The following is a 24,529-nucleotide window of genomic DNA, read 5'->3' on the forward strand; positions in this document are numbered from 1 at the left end:
CCCCGAGCCCCAGAATGTTTCCTAATGGATGACAAGGGGTGGGGCGGGGCCCTGCAGTACTTAGTCGAGGTACAGGAGGTGGCCCTGATGCCAGAGATAAGGATGAGGGGCCGCCGTGCCTGCAGGTGTAAAGGGCAGCTGGGTGTGGTCAGTCCCTCCTGGGTGGATGGGCCTCCATCCATCCCTCAGCCCCGCTACACAGGGGTTGCCTCGATTACACTGAGTGGACACAGACAACTCCCAGCGTCTGGGTCTGATTCCTCCTTTATTGGTGCCAAGTACCACCCCTCCCCCTCTCCCCCATCCTGCCCCCCACCCCAAATGCAGCTGCGCTCCTGGGCCGGGCAGGTGGTGAGGGGGTTCCTTCCTCATCTGGGCCGCAAGGTTCCTTCTGCAGCAGCGCCAGCTGGTTCTGAAACCATAGGCCCAGGGGGCAGCCAGGGAGACCAGGTCCCGTCCAGGGGCATCCTGCAGAGACAGCACGTGAGGGTCTGAGGGCTGGGGCTGGAGACCCCGGCCCCGCTGCTGGAATTGGGCCTCCAGTGGCCACCAGCGCTGACCCGGGGAGGCCAGGACAGAAGGAGGGGTCTGGGGTGGGGTCTGGAGTGGGGTCTGCGGTGGGGCGGGTGCTCACCAGGCCTGCAGGATGGGCATGTTGGACCCTGACGGGCAGAGCAGACCCGCGCTGAGCCTGGTCCAGGCCATGCTGTTCTCTGCGTCCTGCTCGCTGCCCCCCGCCCCAAAACAGAGTTAGTCCTGGAGCTGGGGGGTCGCGCGTTGCTGCTGGGGCACCACGCCAGGACCCCCCACCCCACCCGGCCTCACCTGCGCTTCCCCACCAGGCCCTGTAGCAGCCGCTGGAGCCGCGCGCCCTCCCGCAGGCGGCTGAGCTCGCTGGTGAACGTCCCGTCTGAGTGTCGCCGGGCCCTGCGGGCGGTCGGGGGTCGGGGTCAGGGCGCACTGGGGGCGGGTGGGGCCCGGGGGGCGGGCGGGCCTGGCGGGCGGCTCACCTGGGGGGCGCGGGGCGCGCGGCGGAGCCCCCGAGGAGCAGCAGCAGCAGCAGGAGGGGCCGGGGGGCCATGGCGGGGTCGGGGCGCAGGAGCTGAGCGCTGCGGCCACGGCCCCGGGCCCCCGCAAGGCCCCTTTATGGCGGCGCCCGGAAAGGGGACGGCCCGGCCGCGCCCAGCGATCCCGGGAAGGTCAGGGCCGCCCCCCCAGCTGTCGCCCCGGCCCGGCCTCCCGCCCCCTCCGCCGCGCTGGCGCCCCTCGGCCGGCTGGGGGAGGGGGACGTCCCGGCCTGGGGGGCGAACGGAGCGCGGGCCTGGGACCCGCAGAGGGAACCGCACCGCGAAGCCTCGGAGCCTGCGGGGGCGGAGGGGCCGGAGGGCTTGGGGGAGGGTTTGGGGGGGGACTGGGGGGCCCCGGGGAAGGGGCTGCGGCCGGAGTTCCGGAGGCCCCTGGAGCACCTTGCTGGGGCGAGTTCGTCTCCAGCTTCAGCGTGGCGTGACTGTTGGGGGGCCGGTGTTGCCATTTTATCTGCTTTGAAGTGCGCGATTCAGGATCATTCGGTGCATCCATCCCCACCATCCGTTCTCAGACTTTCCCGTCCTCCCAAAATCCGTTCACAGACGCTCCCGTCCTCCCAAAATCCGTTCACAGACGCTCCCGTCCTCCCAAAATCCGTTCACAGACGCTCCCGTCCTCCCAAAATCGTTCACAGACGCTCCCGTCCTCCCAAAATCGTTCACAGACGCTCCCGTCCTCCCAAAATCGTTCACAGACGCTCCCGTCCTCCCAAAATCCGTTCTCAGACTCTTCCGTCCTCCAAAAATCCATTCTCAGACTCTTCCGTCCTCCCAAAATCCGTTCTCAGACTCTCCCGTCCTCTCAAAATCTGTTCACAGACGCTCCCGTCCTCCCAAAATCCGTTCACAGACGCTCCCGTCCTCCCAAAATCCGTTCACAGACGCTCCCGTCCTCCCAAAATCCGTTCTCAGACTCTCCTGTCCTCCCAGAATGAAGCTCTGTCCCCATCAAACGCCCCCTCCCCTCCTCAGCCCCGGCGCCCCGTCCACTTTCTGTCTGTGGATTCAGCGCTTCCAGGGACTGCGCGCAGGGGGAGCCTCACGGGATTTGTCCTTTGGAGACCGGCTGGATTCTCAGCGCAGCATCCTCCGCCTTCGCCGCCGCGGCCTGGCCTGTGTGGGAATCTCCTTCCCTTTTGTGGGGAACTGTGTCCCGCTGTGTGCAGGGACCGCATCGACCGCGTCCGCTCATCTGTGGGCATCTTGATGGACACCTGGGCTGCCTCCCCTTTGGGGCGACGGCGAGTAACGCTGCTGTGAACGTGGGTGTGCAAACGGCGCTTCCCGATCCCGTTTTCAAGCGTTCTTGGTGTATAGTTATGAGGGAATTGCTGGGTGACAGAGTAATTATGTGTTAAATATTCTGAGGAAACGCCAAACTGTCTTCCCAGCAGCGCAGCAGGGACACGGTTCTTGTCCTCGCCAACACTTGCTACTTTGTGGCTTTTTGTTTGTCGCGTACTAACGATGCCGGTGGGTGCGACGTGGTGTCTCGCTGCGGTTTTGATTGGCATCTCCCTAATGGCCAGCGATGTGGAGCATGTTCTCAAGTGTCTGTGAGCCATTTATACATCATGGAGTGGACGGAGAAATGGCCGTCAAGCCCTTTGATGTTCTGCTGTGGTTGCGAGTCATGCACTGTATCCGTCTGTTAAATCAGCCACAATATTTTCCCCAGCGTTTGCATCATTTCACAGCCCCGCCAGCAATGTGGGGCTGGCTGGCTGGCTGGCTTGCTGGCTTGCTTGCTTTTCTTTCTTTCTTTCTTTCTTTCTTTCTTTCTTTCTTTCTTTCTTTCTTTCTTTCTTTTTCTTTCTTTCTTTCTTTCTTTCTTTTTTTCTTTTTCTTCCTTTCTTCCTTTCTTCTTCCTTTCTTCCTTTCTTTCCTTCCTTTCTTTCTTTTTCAGAGGGAGTCTCGTTCTGTCACCCAGGCTGGAGTGCCGTGGGGCCATCTCAGCTCACTGCAACCTCCGCCTCCCGGTTTCAAGCAGTTCTTGTGCCTCGGCCCTCCAAGTAGCTGGGATTACAGGTGCCTGCCACTATGACTGGCTAATTTTTATATTTTTAGTAGAGACAGGGTTTCACCATGTTGCCCAGGCTGGTCTGAAACTCCTGACCTCAAGTGATCCACCTGCCTCGGCCTTCCAAAGCACTGGGATTACAGGCGTGAGCCACAGCGCCCGGCCTCACTTTCTCTGCACACTGTCAACATCCCTGCAGTCGCTATTTTTAACCTTCAGCCATTCTCTCTGCGGCAACACCTCCTTGTGGTCTTAGTTGCATTTCCCCAGTGGCGGGTGATTCCGAACCTCTTTCCAGGTGCTTGTTTCCATTTGCATGTTGTCGTGGGTTAAATGTATCTTCACATCTCTTGCCCGTTTTTAAATTGTTCTCTACTGCTGAGTTTTGTTTTTTTTTTTATTGTGGGAAAACATGCATAACATGAAACTTACCATTTTAGCCATTTTAAAGTATGAAGTGATACTTAGTACGGTCACGGAATTATACAACCAGCACCGCTGTTTAGTTCCAGAACTTTTTACTCCCCAGATGGAAAATCTCAAATCCATAAAGCATTTACCTCCCCTTCCCCCATCCCTTCAGCTCCTGAGTAACAATGAATTTACTTTCTGTCTCTGTGGATCTGCCTGTTCTGGGTATTTCATACCAATAAAATCCTAAAAGCTGGGCATGGTGGTACATGCCTGTGGTCTCGGCTACTTGAGACGGTGAGGCAGGAGGATGGTTTGAGGCCAGGAGTTCGAGACCAGCCTGGGAAACATAGCAAGACCCTGGTCACTATTTTTATTTATTTATTTATTTTTATTTATTTGTTTTGAGATGGAGTTTCACTCTTGTTGCCCAGACTGGAGTGCAATGGCGCGATCTTGGCCCACTGCAACTTCCGCCTTCTGGGTTCAAGCAATTCTCCTGCCTCAGCCTCTGGAGTTGCTGGGATTACAGCACCACCATGCCCAGCTAATTGTGTACTTTTCATGGAGGCAGGGTTTTGCCATATTGGTCAGGCTGGTCTTGAACTCCTGACCTCAGGTGATCCGCCCGCCTCAGCCTCCCAAAGTGCTGGGATTACACGCAGGAGCCACCGCGCCTGGCCCCAGAATTTCATTCATTTTAATGGAAAAATCACACTGCATTTGGTTCATCCATTCACCTGCTGAGGACGTTTGGTTTATTTCTACCTTGTATATATTGTGTTTGTTTGTCTGCTTGAGACAGAATCTCGTTCTGTTGCCCAGGCTGGAGTGCAGTATATGATCTCCGCTCACTGCAACCTCCGCCTACCAGGTTTAAGTGATTCCCCTGCCTCAGCCTCCTAAGTAGTGGGACTACAGGCATGCACCACCACACCCCCTAATTTTTGTATTTTTAAAAAATATTTATTTATTTATTTACTTTAGAGACGGACTCTCACTCTGTCACCCAGGCTGGAGTGCACTGACCTGATCTCAGCTCACTGCAACCTCCGCCTCCCGGGTTCAAGCTATTCTCCTGCCTCAGCCTCCCAAGTAGCTGGGATTACAGGCACCTGCCACGCCCGGCTAATTTTTGTATTTTTAGTAGAGACGGGGTTTAACCCTGTTGGCCAGGCTGGTCTCCAACTCCAGGTCTCAGGTGATCCACCCGCCTCGGCCTCCCAAAGTGCTAGGGTTACAGGCATGAGCCACTGTGCCCGGCCAGTACTTTGTGTATTTTCAGTGGAGATGGGGTTTCACCATGTTGGCCAGGCTGGTCTTGAACTTCTGGCCTCAAGCAATCTGCCCACCTCGGTCTCCCAAAGTGCTGAGATTACAGGCGTGAGCCACCATGCCCGGCCCCTTTTGTATATTGTGAATAGTGCCGCTGTGAACATTTACATACAAGCTTTTATTTGAACACCTGTCTTCACTTCTTTTGGGTATGTAACATACCCACTGAGTCATATGGCAACTCTACGTGAAACTTGTTGAGGAACTGCTGGACTTCTTCTCACAGTGACCATTTTATATTCCCAAAAGCAGTGAATGTCTCCTCATCCTTAACACTTGGTATTTTTATTTATTTATTTATTTATTTATTTACTACCATGGCCATCCTAATGGATATGGAATGGTATCTTACTGTGGTTTTGATTTGCATTTCCCCAGTGACTAATGAGGTTGAGCATCTTTTCAAGTGCTTTGTGGCCATTTGTGTGTGACATATGTATATTTTTTGTTTGTTTGTTTGTTTTGGGGACGGAGTCTCGCTCTGTCACCCAGACTGGAGTGCAATGGTGCGATCTCGGCTCATTGCAACCTCCACCTCCCAGGTTCAGGCGATTCTCCTGCCTCAGCCTCCTGAGTAGCTGGGACTACAGGTGCCCGCCACCATGCCTGGCTAATTTTTTTGTATTTTTAGTAAAGACGGGGTTTCACCATGTTAGCCAGGATGGTCTCCATCTCCTGACCTCATGATCCGCCCACCTCGGCCTCCCAAAGTGCTGGGATTACAGATGTGAGGCACCGTGCCCAGCCATATTTTTTTTAAGACAGAGTCTCGCACTGTTGCCCAGGCTGGAGTGCAGTGGCGTGTTCTTGGCTCACTGTAACCTCTGCCTCCCGGGATCAAGCGATTGTCCCACCTCCGCCTCCCAAGTAGCTGGGATTATGGGCGCCCGCCAGCATACCCAGCTAATTTTTGTATTTGTAGTAGAGACGGGGTTTCACCATGTTGGCCAGACTGTTCTCGAACTCCTGACCTCAAGGGATCCGCCTGCCTCGGCCTCCCAAAGTGCTGGGATTACAGGCGTGAGCCACTGAACCCGGCCATTTGGGTATCTTCTTTGAAGAAATGTCTATTCAAGTCCTTTACTCATTTTCATTATTTATTTTATTTTGAGACAGGGTCTCACTTTGTTGCCCAGCTTGGAATATGTTGGCTCAATCACAGCTCACTGCGGCCTCAACCTCCTGGACTCAAAGGATCCTCCCACCTCAGATTCCCAAAAAGCTGTGACTATAGGCTCACGCCACCACACCCAGCTAATGTTTGTATTTTTAGTAGAGATGGGGTGTCTTTCTTTTTTTTTTTTTTTTGAGACAGAGTCTTGGTCTGTTGCCCAGGCTGGAGTGCAGTGGCACGATCTTGGCTCACTGCAAGCCCCGCCTCCCAGGGTCACGCCATTCTCCTGCCTCAGCCTCCTGAGTAGCTGGGACTACAGGTGCCCGCCACCACGCCCGGCTAATTTTTTGTAATTTTAGTAGAGACGGGGTTTCACCATGTTAGCCAGGATGGTCTCGATCTCCTGACCTTGAGATCCGCCCGCCTCAGCCTCCCAAAGTGCTGGGATTACAGGCTTGAGCCACCAAGCCTGGCCTGTTGTGGAGGATCTTCTATACATAAGACCATGTCATCTGCAAGTAGAAATAGTTTTCTTTTCCAATTTTGGATACCTTTAATTTCTTTTTCTTGAGTAATGCTCTTGCTAGAATGTCCAGAACAATGTTGAACAGAAGCAGCAGCAGTGGGCATCCTTGTCTCTTTCAAAGGCTTTTTGTTTCTCACCATTGAGTATGATGTTAGCTGTGTTTGTATTTTGTTTGTTTGTTTGAGACAGTCCCCCTCTGTCATTCAGGGTGGAGTGCAGTGGTGCGATCTCGTCTCACTGCAGCCTCCACCTCCTGGATTCACGTAATTCTCGTGTCTCAGCCTCCTGAGTAGCTGGGACTGTAGGCGTGCGCCACCATGCCCAGCTAATTTTAATTTTTGTATTTTTAGTGGAGATGGGATTTCAACATGTTGGGCATCTGGTCTTGAACTCCTGATCTCAAGTGATCCACCCGCCTCGGCCTTCCGAAGTGCTGGGATTACAGGCATGAGTCACGGCGCCCGGCCTGATGAAGTTTGTTTCTATTCCTAGTTTATTGAGTCTTATTATCATGAAAGGGTTTTGAATTTTATGAAATGGTTTTTTCTGCATCAGTTGGGATGATCGCGTGGGTTTTTCTTCATTCTGTTAATGTGGTGTATGACATTGAATTTCGTCTGTTCGTTCACCCTTGCATTCCTGGGATAAATCCCACTGGGTTATGGTACATAATCCTTTTAAAAATGCTGTTTTTCGGCCAGGCACTGGCTCACGCCTGTAACCCCAGCACTTTGGGAGGCCAAAGTGGGCGGATCATGAGGTCAGGAGTTTGAGACCAGTCTGGCCAACAGAGTGAAACCCTGTCTCTACTAAAAATACCAAAATTAGCTGGGCATGGTGGCACGTGCCTGTAGTCCCAGCTGTTCAGGAGGCTGAGGCAGGAGAATAGCGTGAACCCGGGAGGCAGAGGTTGTGGTGAGCCGAGATCACACCACTGCACTCCAGCCTGGGTGACAGAGTGAGACTCCATCTCAAAAAAAAAAAAAAAATGCTGCTTTTCTGGCAGGCAGCACTTTAAAAGGGACTGTGTTTGCTCATATTTTTTCGAGAACTTTTGCATCTATATTCATAAAGGATACTCATTTGGAATTTTCTTTTTGTGATATCATTACTGTTGAGTTTTGAGAATTATTAATCTTTTTTGTATACAAGCCATTTGCTGGATATATGATTGCTAATTTTTAAAAAAAATTTGTTTCTTTTTTAATTTTAATTTATTATTTATTTATTTATTTATTTATTTATTTATTTATTTTGAGACGGAGTCTCGCTCTGTCGCCCACGCTGGAGTGCAGTGGTGCGATCTTGGCTCACTGCAAGCTCTGCCTCCCGGGTTCACGCCATTCCCTTGCCTCAGCCTCCCGAGTAGCTGGGACTACAGGTGCCCGCCACCACGCCTGGCTAATTTTTTGTATTTTTAGTAGAGACAGGGTTTCACTGTGTTAGCCAGGATGGTCTCGATTTCCTGACTTCGTGATCTGCCTGCCTCGGCCTCCCAAAGTGCTGGGATTACAGGCATGAGCCACCTCGCCCAGCCTATTTATTTATTTTTTGACACAGAGTCTTGCTCTGTTTCCCAGGCCAGAGTGCAATGACGTGATCTCCGCTCACCGCAACCTCTGCCTCCTGGGTTCAAGTGATTCTCCTTCCTCAGCCTGCCAAGCAGCTGGGATTACAGGTGCACACCACCACGCCCGGCTTTTTTTTTTTGAGACGGAGTCTTGCTCTGTCACCCAGGCTGGAGCGCAGTGGCACAATCTTGGCTCACTGCAATCTCCGCCTCCCGGGTTCATGCCATTCTCCTGCCTCAGCCTCCTCAGTAGCTGGGATTACAGGTGCCCGCCACCACGCCCGGCTGATTTTTTTGTATTTTTTAGTAGAGACAGGGTTTCACCGTGTTAGCCAGGATGGTCTCGATCTCCTGACCCTGTGATCTGCCTGCCTCGGCCTCCCAAAGTGCTGGGATTACAGGCGTGAGTCACCACGCCTGGCCAATTATTTGTATTTTTAGTAGAGATGGGGTTTCACTATGTTGGCCAGGCTGGTCTTGAACTCCTGACCTGGTGATCCACCTGCCTCGGCCTCCCAACGTGCTGGGATTACAGGTGTGAGCCACTGCGCCTGGCGTAGACAACCCAATTTTTAACAAAAGCAAAGATTTTTAACAGGCACATTCCAGAAGAGGGCATGCTGACAGTTAACAGGCACATGGGAAAAGTGGTCAAACATGAGTAGCCATCAGGAAAATCAACGACGTCCTACTACACTAAAATGGAAGAAACATTGCCAGACGTGGCCATTTGCAAATGTCGTTTCCTGGTCTGTGTCTTTTGATTCTCCTGACAGCATATTTGAGTTAATTTTTTAATGTGTAAGGTATGAGTGGAGGTCCTCATTAAAAATTGTTTAGGCTGGCTGTATGGCTCATGCCTGTAATCACAGCACTTTGAGAGGCTGAAGTGGGAGGATCATTTGAGCCCAGGAGTTTGAGACCGGCTGGGCTAACATGGCGAGACCCCGTCTCTACAAAAAATAAGAAAATTAGCTGGGTGTGGCACCACGCATCTGTAGTCTCAGTTGTACAGGAGGCTGAGGCCAGAGGATCACTTGAGCCCAGGAGATTGAGGCTGCAGTGAGCCATGATTGCAGTAAGATGTGATCACATCCAGTTACATTTGATTTTCAGATAAACAACAGAAGTTTAGTGGAGGCTGGGGGCAGTGGCTCACAGCTGTAATCCCAGCACTTTAGGAAGCTGAGGCAGGTGGATCACCTGAGGTCAGGAGTTCGAGACCAGCCTGGCCAATATGATGAAACCGTGTCTCTACTAAAAATACAAAAAAATTAGCCGGGCGTGGTGGCGGGCGCCTATAATCCCAGCTACTCAGAAGGCTGAGGCAGGAGAATCGCTTGAACCCGGGAGACGGAGGTTGCAGTGAGCCAAGATTGTGCTGCTGCACTCCAGCCTGGGTGATAAGAGTGAAACTCCATCTCAAAAAAAAAAAAAAAAAAAAAACAAATTGGGGTTGTCTGTCTTTTCTCATTGTTTCCATTGTTTCTGGATCTGTGTGTCAGAGATGTGTGCTGCACACATCCTTTCTCCGCCTAGCTTGGTTTTCACTCTTGGTGGTCGCAGACATCTTGGGGGCTACTTGAAGGAACTCTAAGCCGACCAGAGGCTGGGCTGGACTCGCCGTTTGGCGCCCAGCCGGAGACCCCAGGGCCACCCTCCCCGGTTCCATCCTGGGAGAGAAGAAACTTCCACTGTCCCAGTCTCTCCTGTGGTGACTTCTTTTGCTCAAGGGTTCACAAGGGCAGCAGACTGATCTGCACAAGAGGGACTGAGCCTGGCTGCGGCCGCACCTGATGCCTGTGCACACCTGTCCCTGGTGGTCTCTCCTGTGGTGACTTCTTTTGCTCAAGGGTTCACAAGGGCAGCAGACTGATCTGCACAAGAGGGACTGAGCCTGGCTGCGGCCGCACCTGATGCCTGTGCACACCTGTCCCTGGTGCAGGCCCTTCCCCCGCAGCCCCGTGACCTTGTCCTGTGAGGCTCACGGTGCCTGCTCCTTCTCAGAGTCCTCATTTCTCCCTTTAACGCACGCCCTGTCAGCGCCTCCGTCTAGCCCGTGTCCTCCAGACCTTCGAGGTCAGGGGCCTCAATTCCTGGCACAGCCCCTCCACTCCAGGCCTCCCAGAAACAGACTAGAGCATCAGGATGTGCGCCGCCTGGGGTCCCACAGAGTGGTGCCCCCTTTTAGTGTCTTCTAGGCCCCTTAGTGACAGACTACAGAAAATACCTCTCAGGTCACAGGTCACCCCTCTTTGGTGAAGAGTCCATAGAATTCTCTGCTGCGCTTTGCAAGCACTTTCTCTTCTGCACGTTTGGAACCTACCCCGGCCTGTCGTGTCTTTCTCCTGGCCTCCTCGCGAGCCGAACCTACTGTCCGGTCCCGGGACCCCCTGCCCAGGGTCAGAGGGGCGCCTACCTAGCTCACGGTCTTGGGCCGGAGGGAATGGAGGAGGGAGCGGGGTCGACCGCTCAGCTGTCCGCCCAGTTTCGGAGGCGGCCACGCGAGGATCAACTGTGCAACGGGTGGGGCCGCGGCTGACCGTGGTGGTCGCGGGGGCTGAGGGCCAGAGGCTGCGGGGGGGGGGCGGCGGGATGAGCTAGGCGTCGGCGGTTGAGTCGGGCGCGGAGTCGGGGGCAGGGGGAGCGGGCGTGGAGGGTGCGCACGAGGTCGAGGCGAGTCCGCGGGGGAGGCGGGCAGAGCCTGAGCTCAGGTCTTTCTGCGTCTGGCGGAACGGGCCTGGGAGGGAGGTTTTGCCAGATACCAGGTGGACTAGGGTGAGCGCCCGAGGGCCGGGACGCACGCACGGGCCGGGTAGGATGGCGCTGGCGTCGATGCCCGCGCGCTTCAGGGCCTGGTCTGGCCGCCCCTCCATCCTTGTCGGTTTCTCGGGTCGCGGACCCCGCGCGGCGCCGGGCGATGCTGGCCTGCCCGTGGCCACCACCTCGCTTCATTCCCGTCTCTTTGGGCCGCCGCATTCGTCCACGTGCCCGTCTCTCCCTGCGCAAAATTCCAAGATGAGCAAATACTGGGCTCACGGTGGAGCGCCGCGGGGGCCCCCCTGAGCCGGGGCGGGTCGGGGGCGGGACCAGGGTCCGGCCGGGGCGTGCCCGAGGGGAGGGACTCCCCGGCTTGCGACCCGGCGTTGTCCGCGGTGCTCAGCGCCCGCCCGGGCGCGCCATGGGGAACCGCAGCACCGCGGACGCGGACGGGCTGCTGGCTGGGCGCGGGCCGGCCGCGGGGGCATCTGCGGGGGCATCTGCGGGGCTGGCTGGGCAGGGCGCGGCGGCGCTGGTGGGGGGCGTGCTGCTCATCGGCGCGGTGCTCGCGGGGAACTCGCTCGTGTGCGTGAGCGTGGCCACCGAGCGCGCCCTGCAGACGCCCACCAACTCCTTCATCGTGAGCCTGGCGGCCGCCGACCTCCTCCTCGCTCTCCTGGTGCTGCCGCTCTTCGTCTACTCCGAGGTGAGCCGCGTCCGGCCGCACGAGCATCCTCACCTGCTCCTCGGTTCCCCGTCCCTGTCCCTACGGAGGACCCGGCGCGACCCGGCCCCTTTCTGGTGCGGAGCTTCCAGCTGGGGCGGCGGCAGGGGCGCTGCGCCTTGTCCCTCGGCGATACACCCACCGCCGCCACCTCGCGACCTTCCACCCGCTGCGCTGTCTGTCCCCCGACCCTCGTTCCTCTTCTCCTTCCCCGTCTGTCTTGGCGTCTGTTATCCAGGAGATGCCCGTCCTTCTATCCAGGGACCCCGGAAACAGGCGACTTTGTCAAGCCCAGTCCCCTCCGTAGCTGGATTTCACCTCCAGGGCAGCCAGCTGGACAGACAGGCAGATGCAGGCTCAGCCCCCTGGCTGCCGTGGGACACACACACACACACACTGCCACAGCCACTGCCCACCACACACACCTAGTGCAGATGCTGGCACACCCCCAGAAGGAGGCTCACAGCTCGCAGGGGAGACCTGGGCTGGACAAAACCCAGGGGAGGGGAGGGTGTGTGGGGACCAGGCCCCTGCTGAGAACCCTGGGGGGAAGCCTGAGGGGGAATTGGGGGATGGAGCCCACACTCCACACCAGGTCTGGCCCTCGAGTGGGTCGGCCTTGGTGCCAGCCCCTCTGCGGCCAGAGAAAAGCAGCTTAGGGCTGAGCTGGAGACGCGGTGTCCCCGACTGTGGGGGAGGGGGACTCGAGGTTTCCCCTTGATGGACACAGTGAATCCAGGCGGCTGGGGCAGAGACCAGCAGCACGGGACACGCGTGACCTGTGCTCCTTTCGAGCCGCAGACGTCACAGTGACGACGTTTAAGCTCCTAATCTCCCCAAATCGGCGGGAAGGATTAGAGGGGCTGCCTGCTCCTTTGCCCTTGGAGAGAGTCACTCCACGTGGAGTCCTACGCTGGGCACTGGGCACGGTCTTCATATTTTTAATTATAATTTATCTTCAAGACAATTATGATGTGGATACTATCATCACCCTTGTCTTACAGATGAAGAAACAGAAATGAATTAACGTGCCCGAGTCTCCCACAGAGAACTTAGCCAACAGAGCAGCCAGCTTCGCTTCTAGGCCCAGCGGGGACCCTGCCTACCCCAGGCTGGGGAGGGGCTCCCTTTGAGCCCGATGATATCAGGCCCGCCCCCAGGGAATTCCCCAGGCCGTTCTCATGTTTGTAACAAAAGGGAGACCAAGGCCAGAAGCCGTGATTCACGCCTGTAATCCCAGGACTTTGGGAGGCAAAGGCAGGAGGATAGTTTGAGACCAGCCTGGGAAACATACCAGGCCTGGTCTCTACAAAAAATTTTAAAATATCAGCCGGGGGTGGTGGCTGCGGCTGTTGTCCCAGCTATTCGGGGGAGCTGAGGCGGCAGAATCGCTTAAACCTGGGAGGCGGAGGTTGCAGTGAGTTGAGATCTCACCACTGCACTCCAGCCTGGGCAACAAGAGCGAAACTCCGTCTCAAAAAACAAAAAGAAAAACAAATCAGCCGGGGGTGGTGGCGCGCGGCTGTAATCCCAGCTACTCTGGAGACTGAGGTGGGAGGATCGCTTGAGCTCAGGAATTCCAGGCTACAGTGAGCCATGATGGAGCCACAGCACTCCAGCCGCGGTGACACAGCGAGACCCTAACTCAAAACAAAGGGAGATCTGCGTGGGGAAGGGGTGTTTCCCTGCCCGGTCCTCTGGCCTCTGGCTCACAGCCGGGCCCCCTTCTCCGTATTCAGCCCTGGAACTACCCATAAGAGTGGGGGCGGGTCACAAGGGCCCGCGGTGGCTGGGAAACCTCAGGGCCTGTGGTGTCGCCGCGCAGGTCCAGGGTGGCGCGTGGCTGCTGAGCCCCCGCCTGTGCGACGCCCTCATGGCCATGGACGTCATGCTGTGCACCGCCTCCATCTTCAACCTGTGCGCCATCAGCGTGGACAGGTGCGCCGCCCTCCCCGCCCGCGCCCCGGCGCCCCCGCGCCCCGCCCGCCGCCCTCACCGCGGCCTGTGCGCTGTCCGGCGCCCCCTCGGCGCTCCCCGCAGGTTCGTGGCCGTGGCCGTGCCGCTGCGCTACAACCGGCAGGGTGGGAGCCGCCGGCAGCTGCTGCTCATCGGCGCCACGTGGCTGCTGTCCGCGGCGGTGGCGGCGCCCGTACTGTGCGGCCTCAACGACGTGCGCGGCCGCGACCCCGCCGTGTGCCGCCTGGAGGACCGCGACTACGTGGTCTACTCGTCCGTGTGCTCCTTCTTCCTACCCTGCCCGCTCATGCTGCTGCTCTACTGGGCCACGTTCCGCGGCCTGCAGCGCTGGGAGGTGGCACGTCGCGCCAAGCTGCACGGCCGCGCGCCCCGCCGACCCAGCGGCCCTGGCCCGCCTTCCCCCACGCCACCCGCGCCCCGCCTCCCCCAGGACCCCTGCGGCCCCGACTGTGCGCCCCCCGCGCCCGGCCTTCCCCGGGGTCCCTGCGGCCCCGACTGTGCGCCCGCCGCGCCCAGCCTCCCCCAGGACCCCTGCGGCCCCGACTGTGCGCCCCCCGCGCCCGGCCTCCCCCCGGACCCCTGCGGCTCCAACTGTGCTCCCCCCGACGCCGTCAGAGCCGCCGCGCTCCCACCCCAGACTCCACCGCAGACCCGCAGGAGGCGGCGTGCCAAGATCACCGGCCGGGAGCGCAAGGCCATGAGGGTCCTGCCGGTGGTGGTCGGTGGGTTCCTGTCCTGAGGGGCGGGGAGGAGAGGAGGGGGGGGGTACGAGGCCGGCTGGGCGGGGGGCGCTAACGCGGCTCTCGGCGCCCCCAGGGGCCTTCCTGCTGTGCTGGACGCCCTTCTTCGTGGTGCACATCACGCAGGCGCTGTGTCCTGCCTGCTCCGTGCCCCCGCGGCTGGTCAGCGCCGTCACCTGGCTGGGCTACGTCAACAGCGCCCTCAACCCCGTCATCTACACTGTCTTCAACGCCGAGTTCCGCAACGTCTTCCGCAAGGCCCTGCGTGCCTGCTGCTGAGCCGGGCACCCCCGGACGCCCCCCGGCCTGATGGCCAGGCCTCAGGGACCAAGGAGATGGGGAGGGCGCTTTTGTACGTTAATTAAACAAATTCCTTCCCAAACTCAGCTGTGAAGGCTCCTGGGGGCTGATGGGGAGTGGGGAAGAGGGGTTTCTGCCTCAGTGGCCCCAGGCCCCCCAGCCAGTTAACCTCTTTCTCCCCGCCAAGGAAGCCCACAGAGCAGACCCCACCAAGCCGGCCGCCTGCTCAGGGTGAGGGGGGAAGGGGCCCCCGAGAGCCACTCAGTTCCGCAGCGCTGGGGCCCAGCTTCCCCTCTCTGCAGGGGAGAGGAAGCAGCACCCAGCAGGGCAAGGTGTCTCCTGGGGAAGCCCAGTTCCGATGGGAAGAAACAAATGGGGAGAGGCGGGGTGGGGGGCTGTCAGCCGCCAGGCCCTGCCCGGGCCAACTCCCACCTCTGAGAACCAGGCACAGGGGGCTCCAGGCTCATGCTGCCCCAGCAGACCCCGGCAGGGGAGCCCAACCTGTCATTTTAGAAGCTGCCTTGAGGCCAGAGCCTAGCTTCCTGCCAGTCCCTGGCCAGAGGATGCCCCAAGCCCCACAGCAAGGGGCCTGTGGTGATGGGTGGGGCCCCACCAAGTGGCTTCCCTGGAGGGAGCTCCGTGCTCAGTCACCCCTGGTGCCCAGCCAACCTCTGCCCAGCGTCCACCAATGTGGCTGGGCCAAGGGGTGGGAGCAGGGAGGCGGCAGCGGGGCCAGGGGCTGGGCAGAGCGACCCAAGCTGCCTGTCTGCACCCTGGCTCCATCAACCAGTGCAGCCCCTGACCCTGGGGGAAGAGGGGCGGCTCCCAGGGCCCTCCATGCAGGAACAGCCTACCCTGGACTGGATCCAGCTCTCTCCCAGGCCCAGGTTGTGGGAGAAATGGGGGACCCTCCGCCTCCCAATCGTGCTGGCTGGAACTTTCCTGTGCTGGGGATTCGGCGTTTGCAGCCAGGGTGGCCAGTCAGGGTGCCAGGCTCCCATCTGAACACTGACAGACTGTGGGCTGTGCAGTCTACAGCATTGGGCACAACCTCAGCTTGCTAAAATACTCAGTGCAGGCTGGGTGTGGTGGTCACGCCTGTAATCCCAGCTACTCGGGAGGCTGAGGCAGGAGGATCCCTTAAAGCTAGGGAGTCAAAGCTGCAGTGAGCCGAGATCGTGCCACTGCACTCCGGCCTGGGTGACGGAGACCCTGTCTCAAAAAAGAAAAGAAAACGAGTATTGGGTGGAGAGAGGACCAAGCCCAATTACTACTTTAGTGCGGCTGCCCCGTCCCGTCTGGTGACCACGCACTTCTGTGATGGCCTCAGCGGCTGCCTCCTCCAGGACACCTTCTCCGACTACCTGCTTCCCAGGACCAGCCTGTCCCAGTCACCCCCGGAACAGACTGAGTCACAGTGGATTCCTCTCAGACACCCGTGAGAGTGAAGGAGGGGCTCCCGCCAGCTTTGTCCCAGGACCCACAGCCCCACACGTGCCTGACAGCGCTGGAGGCCATGGGAGGTGCACATGCATCTGGGGGTCCTGGGGGTGCTGACAGCCCTGGGGCAGGGCGACCTCTGACCATCAGCCTCCCAGGCTTGGAAAGGAGGAGCTGTGGAAACCTGGGATCCCAACAGACGCGTGGTGCTTGGCTTCTGTTTTACGGAAAGTTGGGGAAGAGTAAGTGGCCCCCACAATTCCAGGGAATACCCCCACTCCATTCCTGCAGGGCCTGGCGCAGGAAGCCAGGTGGCATCACTGCTGGCGGGGGTCACTGTGCCAGAGGGCTCCCACGGTGCCTCCCCCACCAGGCAGGGGTTCAGCTACTTCCTGCAGCTGTGCTCTCTGCAGAGATGCTGGTGTTCTCAGCTTTGGGGGATTATTCTTAAGAGGTGCAGGTCCTCAATTGCCTGCCACCTTTATGTTGGTTAAAACCCAAAGGAGCAGGCCCAGCCCTGCTGTCTCATGGAGGTCAACCCACGGCCCGCCTGCCTGGACAGGGCAAGGCCAAGCAGGGCCTCTGAGATGCCTCCACCTTGCGGCAATGGCAGACCCTGCTGGGTTGGATGAAAAGCCATTGTAGAGTCTCAGAGGAAGGGCCAGGCGGGCTGAGGGTCAGAGGAAGGGCCAGGCGGGCTGAGGGTCACAGGAAGGGCCAGGCGGGGTGAGGGTCACAGGAAGGGCCAGGCGGGCTGAGGGTCACAGGAAGGGCCAGGCGGGGTGAGGGACAGGCGGGGTGAGGGGCAGGTGGGGTGAGGTGCAGCATCTGGAGCGCGTCCTGCAGCAGCCCAGACACCTTTTCCAGCCTCCACTGCTCACTGGCAGCACCAACGGTGCAGCACCGGGCACGCCTGAGCAGGATGATGAAACATCAGTGAGGGCTTGGCCTGGCTGGGCAGAGACTTTACTAAGTAAATAGGCCAGGGCGGTGGCTCACACCTGTAATCCCAGCACTTTGGGAGGTCGAGGTGGGTGGATCACCTGAGGACAGGAGTTCGAGACCAGCCTGGCCAACACGGAGAAACCCCGTCTCTACTAAAAATCCCTAAACTAGCTGGGTGTGCTGGTGGCCACCTATAATCCCAGCTACTCGGGAGGCTGAGGCAGAAGAATCGCTTGAACCTGGGAGGCGAAGTTGCAGTGAGCCAAGATTGTGCCACCGCACTCCAGCCTGGGTGACAGAGTGAGACTCTGTCTCAAAGAAAAAAAAAAAAGAAAACCGGAATAAACCAGGTGGTCCTGAGAAACCCAGAGACTGAAAATATCGGGGGGCCTCTGCGGGGCCCAGTGAACATCCCCTTCCAAGGGGGCTTTGGCCACCTCTCGGGCTCAGCTCCAGCTGGTGCAGAAAGCGCTTCAGAGGCAAACATCAGAATCACTGGTGCAGGTTCCTCCTGGCGCTGCCACCCTACCCCAGGTGCCTGCTGAGCTGTTGCTGAGTGTGTACTTTCTCGCCCCAAGGCAGCCACAGCCATGGAGCCTTCTGTGTGCAGAGAACACAGGCCATGAGGGCAGAAGCTTCCAGAACAAGAGTGATGCTGCTCCAGCAGCGCTCTTGGTCAGGAGGGCAGGGGGGTCCCATGTTCAGGCCCAGCCCAGTGCCCAAACACGCTGGACACGCCCCCTTGTGCCCCCCACAGGCTTCAGCCCTTTCTCCTCCACCTGGCGCCAGGGCCATGAGAAACAAGGGGGAGACCAGGAGGCCATGAGGCTCTGCGTGTGGATCCCTGGACCGAGGCCACCAAGCTGTCCACGTGGACTGAACAGGCCGTGCTGGACCGTCGGGCTCGCTCAAGCAGCCAGGGCACAGGAGGCACCATGTGCCCCGAAACCTGGCGGGAAGGGCCGTAGGCCTGCTGCACCTCCCAGCAGCCACGAGGGTCTCGTGGAACAGAAGGAACGAAGACCTCCTGGACTACACGAGCCACCAGACGCCAGGGCTTCAGCCCGGCCGCGCTGCCCCGTGCACCGGAGGCTCCGGCCTGGCCGCGCTGTCCCGTGCACCAGAGGTGCGGTGGGCTTGGTTTTCCCACCTGCGCAGTAGGAGGAAGGGGAGGAAACCCCCCCCCGAGGGCTGGCACTGCAACCGGCCGTGTGGGGCAGGGAGACCTTATTTACACTTTATTGACAGACACAACACGTATGTATGTGCGTCGCAGCACAGGCCCTGTGGGCAAGACCGGACGCTCATGATCCCAGGGATAAAAAATCTGTCCGCGAGCGGGCAGGGGGCCCGGGCAGGGGGAGTGCGCTTCCCAGGGCACCATTCGCTTAAAGTGTGTTAATGACTTGTCCAGCAAGTTTCTTTACCTTCCCACACCCCTCTTCTCAACGTCCCCCCAGAGTCCTCAGGGGGGCCTTCGACCTGCAAAAGCCTCACAGGAGTGCGAGGGGCCCCAGCTCCCAGGGCGGCCGATGGAGCCTCACACGGTCACCTTCTCCATCACGCTTTCAGCCACGTGGACTTCGTCTGCCTGGACGGTGACAGCTGCTGACTGGCCGCATATGTGCTGGTGATCCTTCCAGTCCTGGAAGGGAGGACACACCCATGTCAGCAGGGTCAGTGGGTGGAGCAGGGTCTGGGCAGGGTCCCCAAGGCAGACCCCAGAGGGTGCAGCCCTCTGTAACCTCACCTGGAGGTGCTGAGAATGCCCTCCCCAGCCCCCGTGCGCCCAAACTCTGGTGGGCTCTGCTCCAATACAGCCTTCCCCACACTCTCTTGGTTTGAGGAATTGGATCAAAAGGCAAACAACAGGCAGGGCACGGTGGCTCACGCCTGTAATCCCAACACTTTGGGAGGCCCAGGAGGGTGGATCCCCTGAGGTCAGGAGTTCGAGACCAGCCTGGCCAACATGGTGAAACCCCGTATCTACTAAAAATACAAAAATTAGCTGGGCATGGTGGCAGGCACCTCTAATCCCAGCTACTCGGGAAGCTGAGGCAGGAGAACTGCTCAGCCCTGGGAGGCAGAGGTTGCAGGGAGCCGAGATGGTGCCACTGCACTCCAGCCCGGGTGACAGAACAACTCCATATCAAAAAAAAAAAAAAAAAAAGTCAAACAACAAACCAGGGTAAGACTCTCCAAACCAGTTGTTTTGTGTTAGGGATGTAAACAAAAAATATCACACATGCAGAAAAACATTTAAATATGTAAATATTACATATGTAAATTACGATCAAGTTCTGTGGGGGTTTTTTTGTTGTTTTTCGGACAGAGTTTCGCTCTTGTTTCCCAGGCTGGAGTGTAACGCGCAATCTCGGCTCACCACGACCTCTGCCTCCTGGGTTCAAGCAATTCTCTTGCCTCAGCCTCCCTAGCAGCTGGGATTACAGGTGCACGCCACCACACCTGGCTAATGTTTTGCATTTTTAGTAGAGACAGGGTTTCACCATGTTGGTCAGGCTGGTCTCGAACTCCTGACCTCAGGGGATCTGCCCGCCTCGGCCTCCCAAAGTGCTGGGATGACAGGTGTGAGCCACTGCGCCCCGCCCCAGTTCTGTTTTTAATGGCAAAGATGAAAAAGCAAACTGGAACCAGCCCGTGGCTGCAGAGAAAGGAGGTGGGGGATGGTGCCTGGGAGAAGCCACAGCTCCTGTGAGGTCAGCACACAGAACCAGGCTCTGCCTCCCTGCTACGTCGAGCACCTCGGAATGGAGCAGAGCTCTAGAGGAAGCGCCAGGTGCTGAAGCTGAGACGGCCTCGTCAGACAGAGGCAGCTCCGTGCACGGGGGCGTGATAGGTACGTATATGACACACAGAGCAGAAATAAATGCTTCCAAATGGTGACAGAGTTATTCCCTAGAGAGCAGAATTCCAGCTGATTATAATAAAAGAGCAAAATTAGGCCGGGCGCAGTGGTTCACGGCTGTAATCCCATCATGTTGGGAGGCCGAGGTGGGCAGATCACCTGAGGCCAGGAGCTCGAGACCAGCCTGCCCAACATGGCAAAACCCCATCTCTACTAAAAATACAAAAACTAGCCGCCTGTGGTCATGCGCACCTGCAATCTCAGCTACTTGGGAGGCTGAGGCACAAGAATCACTTGAACCTGGGAGGCAGAGGTTGCAGTAAGCCAAGATTGTGCCACGGCACTCCAGCCCGGGCGACAGAGTGAGACTACGTCTCAAAAAAAAAAAAAAAAAAAAAATTAAAATTACCTGGTAATAGACTATAAATCTACATAGCATGAAAGCACATACATCAGCAAACTGCAGCATCGGGTGCAGACCCACCGCCCGCCCCTCCCGGGCCTCCACTCTGGGGCAACCAGGAAGGGTTCCGGTTCCTGCCGAGACTCTGTGTGGGGTGAGGGGCCTGCACCCCTCATGGGAGCTGCCCCCCGTGAGAGGATGTGGGCGGCGGACAAGGCCCCCAGGAGTTCTAGATGCTTCCTTCTCTGGTCTACAGGTTTGAGCCACTCCCTGGGGCCTGTGCAGATGGAGGGAGAGAGGGCGCACATCAGTGTTGACTCTGAGCTACAGAAGCTTCCATCAGGTTCTTCCAGCAAAGAGGCAAAGGCCCAGGGTTGACTTTTAAAATCAGAACTACTCAGTTCTTTTTTAAAGCAAATTTTTCCATCTTAAACATCAATGTGATGCTTCTTACAGTATAATGCTAAAACACTTTTGAAAAAAAAATCATTATCTGAAAAGCCAGAATTAGAAGTTAGCGTTTCAGTTTTTGAAAAACGGAAAAAAATGGTTAAATTCACAAGAAGCTAACAATGAAAGTGCCTGATACAAATAAATGAGAAAAGCCAACATCACAGACTGTAAAAACAATGACTTCGGGAGGTTGAGGTCACTTGAGGTCAGGGGTTGGAGACCAGCCTGAGCAACATAGCAAAACCCTATCTCTATAAAAAAAAAAAAATGTTTTAAAATTAGCTGGGTGTGGTGGCTCATGCCTGTGGTCCAAGCTACTTGGGAGACAGAGGCAGGAGGATCACTTGAGCCAGGAGATCAAGGCTGTAGTGAGCCGTGATGGCACCACTGGACTGCAGCCTGGGTGACAAAGCGAGACCCTGTCTATAGAAAACCTAAAATAGGCTGGGTACGGTGGCTCATGCCAGTAATCTCAGCACTTTGGGAGGCCAAGGCAGGCAGATCATGAGGTCAGGAGTTCAAGACCAGCCTGAACAACATGGTGAAACCCCGTCTCTGCTAAAAATACAAAAATTAGCCGGACGTGGTGGCGGGTGCCTGTAATCCCCAGCTACTAGGGAGGCTGAGGCAGGAGAATCGCTTGAACCTGGGAAGTGGAGGTTGCAGTGAGCCAAGATCGCGCCGCTGCACTCCAGCCTGGGTGACAGAGCCAGACCCTGTCTCAAAAACAGAAACAAAACCAAAAACAAACGAACAAATAAAAACCAAAAATAAGTAATGAAATAAAAACAGTGACTAAAAATCCAATTAAAACACAATCCAAATCTGACTTACAGTGATCCAGGCCTCACAAATGAAAATAATGATGCGTGGGGCTTGCTTTAAAATGCTCAGCCCTCAGCCCAAAGAGAGAGGGGGACAAGCCAGGAGGGCAGGCGCTAAAGCAGCTGATACAGGTGAGGGCGACGGGCCTCTCCTGGGCGATCCAACTCATGTGCACGTCTCACATTTTCCAAAGTTAAGGATTAAAAGAAAAGTGTTGCCACCACAGCACGTAGGTGACTCAATCCAGGCAGTGCTGGGAGCAGGTGGGTGGACTTGACCCAGGCGGTGCTGGGAGCAGGTGGGTGGACTTGACCCAGGCGGTGCTGGGAGCAGGTGGGTGGACTTGACCCAGGCGGTGCTGGGAGCAGGTGGGTGGACTTGACCCAGGCGGTGCTGGGAGCAGGTGGGTGGACTTGACCCAGGCGGTGCTGGGAGCAGGTGGGTGGACTTGACCCAGGCGGTGCTGGGAGCAGGTGGGTGGACTTGACCCAGGCGGTGCTGGGAGCAGGTGGGTGGACTTGACCCAGGCGGTGCTGGGAGCAGGGGATTCCTGTTGGGGCTTCATAACATGCATAAACTCGTGTATACTTTTGTGTACATACCAAGTCCTCTACAATTAATTTTTAAAATTATCACTGCCTTTTTTTTTTTTTTTTGAGACGGAGTCTCCCTTTGTCTCCCAGGCTGGAGTGCTGTGGCACGATCTCGGCTCACTGCAAGCTCCGCCTCCCGGGTTCATGCCATTCTCCTGCCTCAGCCTCCCGAGTACCTGGGACTACAGGCGCCCACCACCACGCCAAGCTAATTTTTTTGTATTTTTAGTAGAGACGGGGTTTCACCATGTTAGCCAGGATGGTCTCGATCTCCTGACCTCGTGATCCGCCCGCCTCGGCCTCCCAAAGTGCTGGGATTACAGGCGTGAGCCACCGTGCCCAGCTGAAGGCAGCTTTTTAAAGAACAGGATCTGAGGGAGGCTTGAGGACAGGGTGTCCTGGGCTGGAGGTCCGGCTGGAAGGCAGCTTTTAAAAGAACGGGATGTGTTCGTTCTGTAGGTGAAAGGAGCTCAGTAAGTGCTTATATTGGGGCCCAAATAGTGTTTGCCAGGAATGTATACACTCAGCCTCTGCAGTACACTTTCCCTGCTTGAGGAAATTCTATCCTCCTACTGAAACTGAGATAAATTAAAATGTATATTGTAATACCTATAGCAGTAAGAAAATAACAACTTTAAAGATACTGTTTAAAAATGTTCAACAAAAGAATTGAAGTGGTACACTAGAAAACACAACTAGAAAATACACATTTAACAGAAAAGAAGGCAGTGAAAGAACAGAGGAGCAAAACATGAAACATAAACTGCAAATATAAACACAAATCCACTCACATTGATAATTACATTAAACATGAGATTAGGTTTTGCGCAGTGGCTCATGCCTATAATCCCAGCACTTTGGGAGGCCAAGGTGGGAGGGTTACTTGAGCCCAGGAGTTCAAGACCAGCCTGGCCAACATGGCAAAACCCTCTCTCTACGAAAAATACAAAAATTAGCCTGGCATGGTGGTGCATGCCTGTAATCCCAACTACTTGGGAGGCTGAGGCAGGAGAATCGCTTGAACCCGGGAGGCAGAGGCTGCAGTGAGCCGAGATTGCGCCACTGCACTCTAGCCTGGGCAACCGTGCGAGACTCCATCACACACACACACAACAACAACAACAAAAACGGGCATGGTGGCGGGTGCCTGTAATCCCAGTTACTTGGGAGGCTGAAGGAGGAGTATTGCTTGAACCCGGGAAGCGGAGGTTGCACTGAGCTGAGATTGTGCCACTGCACTCTGGCCTGGGTGACAGAGAGAGACCCCACTTAAAAAAAAAAACAAAACAGCTGGGTGTGGTGGCTCACACCTATAATCCCAGCAGTTTGGGAGGCCGAGGCGGGCGGATCACTTGAGGTCAGGAGCTCAAGACCAGCCTGACCAACATGGTGAAACCCTGTGTCTACTAAAAGTACAAAAATTAGCCGGGTCTGATGGCACACTCCTGCAGTCCCAGTTACTCGGGAGAATGAGGCACGAGAATCCCTTAAACCCAGGAGGTGGAGGCTGCAGTGAGCCGAGATTACGCCAGTGCACTCCAGCCTGGGCAACAAAGTGATACTCTGTCTCAATTCAAAAAACAAAACAGGCCGAGTTCCAGTGCGGTGGCTCACACCTGTAATCTTAGAACTTTGGGAGGCTGAGGCGAGTGGATCACCTGAGGTCAGGAGTTCGAGACCAGCCTTGCCAACACGGAGAAACCCCATCTCTACTAAAAACACAAAAATTAGTTGGACGTGGTGGCTCATGCCTATAATCCCAGCTACTCAGGAGGCTGAGGAAGGGAAATCACTTGAACCCGGGACGTTGAGGTTGCAGTGGGCTGAGATCGTGCCATTGCACTCCAGCCTGGCGACAGAGTGAGATTGTCTAAAAAACAAAAACAAAAACAAAAACAAAAACAAAACAAAAAAGTAGATTAAACACTCCAATCAAAAGGCAGAGACTAGTGTGGTGGTTCACACCTGTAATCCCACCACTTTGGGAGGCTGAGGCGGGTGAATCTCTTGAGGTCAGGAGTTTGAGACCAGCCTGGCCAACATGGTGAAACCCGTCTCTATTAAAAATACAAAAATTAGCTGAGTGTGGTGGCAGGAGCCTGTAATCCCAGCTACTTGGGAGGCTGAGCTATGAGAATCACTTGAACCCAGGAGATGGAGGTTGCAGTGAGTGGAGATGGAGCCACTGCATTCCAGCCTGGGGGACAGAGTGACAGTCCGTCTCAAAAAAAAAAAAAAAAAAAAAAAAAAGGCAGAGACTATCAGACTAGATTAAAACCTAAGATCCAACCACATTCTGTCTCTAAGGGAATGCTTAAGAGCCAAGGACACAAAATTAGAAGTAACAAGATGTTTGTTTATTTATATGTTTATTTAATTAAAAAATAGAAACAGGGTCTCGCTTTGTTGGCCAGGCTGGCCCTGGGCTCAAGAGATCCTCCC

The 24,529-nt window shown here is 56.4% G+C and overlaps 3 protein-coding genes across 11 annotated transcripts in view, besides 14 other annotated features; 1 reads left to right on the plus strand and 2 right to left on the minus strand.

The window, feature by feature from the left end:
- Window positions 1–246: 246 nt before the first annotated feature.
- On the minus strand, window positions 247–1,119 carry SCT (secretin). The gene is made up of 4 exons (NM_021920.4): window positions 1,011–1,119; window positions 826–927; window positions 635–727; window positions 247–468 (listed from the first exon to the last, which is right to left on the minus strand). Exons 1-4 carry the CDS (start codon window positions 1,079–1,081, stop codon window positions 369–371), a joined length of 366 nt encoding a protein of 121 aa, NP_068739.1. The 5' UTR covers window positions 1,082–1,119; the 3' UTR covers window positions 247–368.
- Window positions 653–1,153: an enhancer, noted in NCBI's record as "H3K4me1 hESC enhancer chr11:626715-627215 (GRCh37/hg19 assembly coordinates)". NCBI's record gives its function as "activates a minimal SCP1, AML or CMV promoter by ChIP-STARR-seq in primed H9 embryonic stem cells {active_cell/tissue: H9 hESC(primed)}" and the evidence as "EXISTENCE:reporter gene assay evidence [ECO:0000049][PMID:30033119]".
- Window positions 747–1,041: a silencer, noted in NCBI's record as "tiled region #3794; HepG2 Repressive DNase matched - State 18:Pol2". NCBI's record gives its function as "represses a minimal TATA promoter and a strong SV40 promoter by Sharpr-MPRA in HepG2 cells {active_cell/tissue: HepG2}" and the evidence as "EXISTENCE:reporter gene assay evidence [ECO:0000049][PMID:27701403]".
- Window positions 9,489–10,024: an enhancer, noted in NCBI's record as "H3K4me1 hESC enhancer chr11:635551-636086 (GRCh37/hg19 assembly coordinates)". NCBI's record gives its function as "activates a minimal SCP1, AML or CMV promoter by ChIP-STARR-seq in naive H9 embryonic stem cells {active_cell/tissue: H9 hESC(naive)}" and the evidence as "EXISTENCE:reporter gene assay evidence [ECO:0000049][PMID:30033119]".
- Window positions 10,025–10,558: an enhancer, noted in NCBI's record as "H3K4me1 hESC enhancer chr11:636087-636620 (GRCh37/hg19 assembly coordinates)". NCBI's record gives its function as "activates a minimal SCP1, AML or CMV promoter by ChIP-STARR-seq in naive and primed H9 embryonic stem cells {active_cell/tissue: H9 hESC(naive and primed)}" and the evidence as "EXISTENCE:reporter gene assay evidence [ECO:0000049][PMID:30033119]".
- Window positions 11,094–11,627: an enhancer, noted in NCBI's record as "H3K4me1 hESC enhancer chr11:637156-637689 (GRCh37/hg19 assembly coordinates)". NCBI's record gives its function as "activates a minimal SCP1, AML or CMV promoter by ChIP-STARR-seq in naive and primed H9 embryonic stem cells {active_cell/tissue: H9 hESC(naive and primed)}" and the evidence as "EXISTENCE:reporter gene assay evidence [ECO:0000049][PMID:30033119]".
- DRD4 (dopamine receptor D4) lies at window positions 11,207–14,644 on the plus strand. The gene is made up of 4 exons (NM_000797.4): window positions 11,207–11,527; window positions 13,371–13,483; window positions 13,586–14,244; window positions 14,339–14,644. The coding sequence occupies exons 1-4, from the start codon at window positions 11,243–11,245 to the stop codon at window positions 14,539–14,541; spliced, it is 1,260 nt and encodes a 419-aa protein (NP_000788.2). The 5' UTR covers window positions 11,207–11,242; the 3' UTR covers window positions 14,542–14,644.
- Window positions 11,628–12,162: an enhancer, noted in NCBI's record as "H3K4me1 hESC enhancer chr11:637690-638224 (GRCh37/hg19 assembly coordinates)". NCBI's record gives its function as "activates a minimal SCP1, AML or CMV promoter by ChIP-STARR-seq in naive and primed H9 embryonic stem cells {active_cell/tissue: H9 hESC(naive and primed)}" and the evidence as "EXISTENCE:reporter gene assay evidence [ECO:0000049][PMID:30033119]".
- Window positions 12,163–12,696: an enhancer, noted in NCBI's record as "H3K27ac-H3K4me1 hESC enhancer chr11:638225-638758 (GRCh37/hg19 assembly coordinates)". NCBI's record gives its function as "activates a minimal SCP1, AML or CMV promoter by ChIP-STARR-seq in naive H9 embryonic stem cells {active_cell/tissue: H9 hESC(naive)}" and the evidence as "EXISTENCE:reporter gene assay evidence [ECO:0000049][PMID:30033119]".
- Window positions 12,697–13,231: an enhancer, noted in NCBI's record as "H3K27ac-H3K4me1 hESC enhancer chr11:638759-639293 (GRCh37/hg19 assembly coordinates)". NCBI's record gives its function as "activates a minimal SCP1, AML or CMV promoter by ChIP-STARR-seq in naive and primed H9 embryonic stem cells {active_cell/tissue: H9 hESC(naive and primed)}" and the evidence as "EXISTENCE:reporter gene assay evidence [ECO:0000049][PMID:30033119]".
- Window positions 13,232–13,765: an enhancer, noted in NCBI's record as "H3K27ac-H3K4me1 hESC enhancer chr11:639294-639827 (GRCh37/hg19 assembly coordinates)". NCBI's record gives its function as "activates a minimal SCP1, AML or CMV promoter by ChIP-STARR-seq in primed H9 embryonic stem cells {active_cell/tissue: H9 hESC(primed)}" and the evidence as "EXISTENCE:reporter gene assay evidence [ECO:0000049][PMID:30033119]".
- Window positions 14,131–14,742: an enhancer, noted in NCBI's record as "H3K27ac-H3K4me1 hESC enhancer chr11:640193-640804 (GRCh37/hg19 assembly coordinates)". NCBI's record gives its function as "activates a minimal SCP1, AML or CMV promoter by ChIP-STARR-seq in naive H9 embryonic stem cells {active_cell/tissue: H9 hESC(naive)}" and the evidence as "EXISTENCE:reporter gene assay evidence [ECO:0000049][PMID:30033119]".
- Window positions 14,743–15,354: an enhancer, noted in NCBI's record as "H3K27ac-H3K4me1 hESC enhancer chr11:640805-641416 (GRCh37/hg19 assembly coordinates)". NCBI's record gives its function as "activates a minimal SCP1, AML or CMV promoter by ChIP-STARR-seq in naive H9 embryonic stem cells {active_cell/tissue: H9 hESC(naive)}" and the evidence as "EXISTENCE:reporter gene assay evidence [ECO:0000049][PMID:30033119]".
- Window positions 16,204–16,749: an enhancer, noted in NCBI's record as "H3K27ac-H3K4me1 hESC enhancer chr11:642266-642811 (GRCh37/hg19 assembly coordinates)". NCBI's record gives its function as "activates a minimal SCP1, AML or CMV promoter by ChIP-STARR-seq in naive H9 embryonic stem cells {active_cell/tissue: H9 hESC(naive)}" and the evidence as "EXISTENCE:reporter gene assay evidence [ECO:0000049][PMID:30033119]".
- Window positions 16,204–16,881: a biological region, named in NCBI's record as "Sharpr-MPRA regulatory region 3787".
- Window positions 16,587–16,881: a silencer, noted in NCBI's record as "tiled region #3787; K562 Repressive non-DNase unmatched - State 25:Art". NCBI's record gives its function as "represses a minimal TATA promoter and a strong SV40 promoter by Sharpr-MPRA in K562 cells {active_cell/tissue: K562}" and the evidence as "EXISTENCE:reporter gene assay evidence [ECO:0000049][PMID:27701403]".
- Window positions 18,171–24,529, minus strand: part of DEAF1 (DEAF1 transcription factor) — a 62,851-nt gene continuing 56,492 nt past the window's right edge. For 8 of the 9 annotated variants that reach the window (NM_001367390.1, NM_001440885.1, NM_001293634.2 and 5 more), the window contains one exon: window positions 18,171–18,592. In NM_001367390.1, the coding sequence (NP_001354319.1) occupies window positions 18,488–18,592 (105 nt within the window). In that variant the 3' untranslated portion in view covers window positions 18,171–18,487. Of the gene's footprint in view, window positions 18,593–20,269; window positions 20,494–24,529 lie in introns of those variants that run through there. The other variant, XM_047426249.1, reaches the window with a different exon arrangement.

This window comes from Homo sapiens, chromosome 11 (genome assembly GCF_000001405.40).
Source record: "Homo sapiens chromosome 11, GRCh38.p14 Primary Assembly".
Classification (NCBI taxonomy): domain Eukaryota; kingdom Metazoa; phylum Chordata; class Mammalia; order Primates; family Hominidae; genus Homo; species Homo sapiens.

Coding starts and splice junctions, on each gene's coding strand:
- SCT (NM_021920.4), bottom strand. CDS start 1,081: ATGGCCCCCCGGCCCCTCCTGCTGCTGCTGCTGCTCCTCGGGGGCTCC. Junction 928..1,010: donor GCGCGCCCCGCGCCCCCCAG/GTGAGCCGCCCG, acceptor GACCGCCCGCAG/GGCCCGGCGACACTCAGACG. Junction 469..634: donor ATGCCCATCCTGCAGGCCTG/GTGAGCACCCGC, acceptor CTGTCTCTGCAG/GATGCCCCTGGACGGGACCT.
- DRD4 (NM_000797.4), top strand. CDS start 11,243: ATGGGGAACCGCAGCACCGCGGACGCGGACGGGCTGCTGGCTGGGCGC. Junction 11,528..13,370: donor CGCTCTTCGTCTACTCCGAG/GTGAGCCGCGTC, acceptor GTCGCCGCGCAG/GTCCAGGGTGGCGCGTGGCT. Junction 13,484..13,585: donor TGCGCCATCAGCGTGGACAG/GTGCGCCGCCCT, acceptor CGCTCCCCGCAG/GTTCGTGGCCGTGGCCGTGC.